Source organism: Homo sapiens, chromosome 4, assembly GCF_000001405.40.
Source record: "Homo sapiens chromosome 4, GRCh38.p14 Primary Assembly".
NCBI lineage: Eukaryota > Metazoa > Chordata > Mammalia > Primates > Hominidae > Homo > Homo sapiens.
In genome coordinates, this window is record NC_000004.12 from 95924216 (window position 1) to 95926606 (window position 2391).

The window sequence follows — 2391 nt, forward strand, 5'->3', positions numbered from 1 at the left end:
TTTATCAAATTTCAGCTCTTTCTAACCTTCTTATATAACATAAATGAAGGTGGTGATGGAGCTAACATATTACATTCCTGAAACTTGAAATACTAAAAGATTGAGATTTAATCATAAGATTAGAAAGTGATCCTCTTCTACTACTTTTACCATCATATCAAAGGGGTTCCATTATAATAGCAGTGAATTGTAGCTGAAAGAGCTGCAAAGTACAGACTCTACTTAAGGAATAGGAAAACACAATTTTAAAAAGAAAAAAAAATGACTCTCAGACATTAGAAGAATTTTAAAGCCTTAGGTATCTACAGGTACAGAAAACATTAAGCAAAACCCAGCTCATAGCCAGATTATTATAAAATCTCACACTAGAGGACTTTTACCTAAATTCCAATTGCCTGATACATCATATCCAGGTGGTAATAGAAAAAATGTAGTAAAAAGCAAGAAAAAATACTACAAAATGTAGTAAGATGCAAAGAAAGCATTAGAACCAGACTCAGATTTTTATACAGATTTTTATACAGATTTTGGAATTTTCAGAGGGCAATAGTTACGAATAATAGCTATGAATAATACATAAAGGACTTCAATGGAAAAATAGGCACTATACAAGAAAAAATGTGTAATGTAAACAGAAAGATGGGAACTCTAAGAAAGAATCAAAAGAAAATGTTAGAAATGAGAAAAAAATACTGTAACAAAAATGAAGAATACCTTTATAAAAGGAAAATATCTTGGGCCCCCAACATCACTAAACTAAAGGGAAAAGTCAAGCTGGGAACTGCTTAGGGAAAACCTGCCCCCCATTCTATTCAAATTCACCCCACTTCTTACTGAGATAAATACATATTTGATGGCTTCCTTTGGAAAGGCTAATCAGAAACTCAAAAGAATGCAACCATTTGTCTCTTATTTACCTATGACCTGGAAGGCTCCTCCCCGCTTTGAGTTGTCCCACCTTTTCAGACTGAACCAATGTTCATCTTACATATGTTGACTGATGTCTCATGTCTCTCCAAAATGTATAAAACCAAACTGTGCTCTGACCACCTTGGGCACATGTCGACAAGACCTCCTGAGGCTGTGTCACAGGGCACATCCTCAACCTTGGCAAAATAAACTTTCTAAATTAACTGATATCTGTCTCAGATTTTGGGGGTTCACATTTTAGTAACCATGAAGGGATTCTGAATGGAGGTGCCCCAACTTTTGGCAAATCTCCTATTGGTGCTTGGTACCAGCTTGAGCTACCTTTAGGGACAATAGAACAATTTGCAGAGACCTGGAAGCACCTCCACCAGAGAATCCTTGATCTCCCGAAATTTGGTCAAGATCTAAAGTTTATTTTGCTCTGCAACCTTTTTTTTGCAGGGGAGGGCGGGGAGTTTTACTTTCTTCCAACACAAGGCAGGCAAGTTTTTTTCCTGCTTCCATGACAATGGAAGGCAGGTAACTCCTTTATGGAGTTTAAGCTTGCTTCCAAACAGGCAAGATGAGTTTTTTGCCTGCTTCTAGGATGGTAGAAAGCAATCTTCAGCCTGAGACCCATCCCTTGGTAAGTAACTGAATTGGGGTTTGTCTTGGCTAAAGTTAAGATTAACTATCCACTGGTCTTAATTTCCTCTTCCCACTAGAGTGCTCAGTAATCATATAAGTTGTATGATCATGTGTTTTGCTTAATTGATTTTTTTTTTCTCTTAAACTTTTTAAGTTCTTGTTGTGGGAAGTCAGGGACCCCGAACAGAGGGACTGGCTGGAGCCGCGGCAAAGGAACATAAATTGTGAAGATTTCGTGGACATTTATCAGTTGCCAAATGATACTTTTATAATTTCTTATGCCTGTCTTTAATCTCTTAATCCTGTTATCTTCATAAGCTGAGGATGTATATCACCTCAGGACCACTGTGATAATTGTGTTAACTGTGCAAATTGATTGTAAAACGTGTGTTTGAACAATAGGAAATCTGTGCACCTTGAAAAAGAACAGAATAACAGTGATTTTTAGGGAACAAGGGAAGACAACCATAAGGTCTGATTGCCTGTGGGGTTGGGCAAAAAGAGCCATATTTTTCTTTTTGCAGAGAGCCTATAAACAGACGTGCAAGTAAGAGAGATATCACTAAATTCTTTTCCTAGCAAGGGATATTAATATTAATACCCTGGGAAAGGAATGCTTTCCTCGGGGGAGGTCTATAAACGGCCGGTCTGGGAATGTCTGTCTTATGCAGTTGAGATAAGGACTGAGATACGCCCTGGTCTCCTGCAGTACCCTCAGGCTTACTAGGGTGGGGAAAAACTCTGCCCTGGTAAATTTGTGGTCAGACCAGTTCCCTGCTCTTGAACCCTGTTTTCTGTTAAGATGTTTATCAAGACAATACGTACACCACTGAA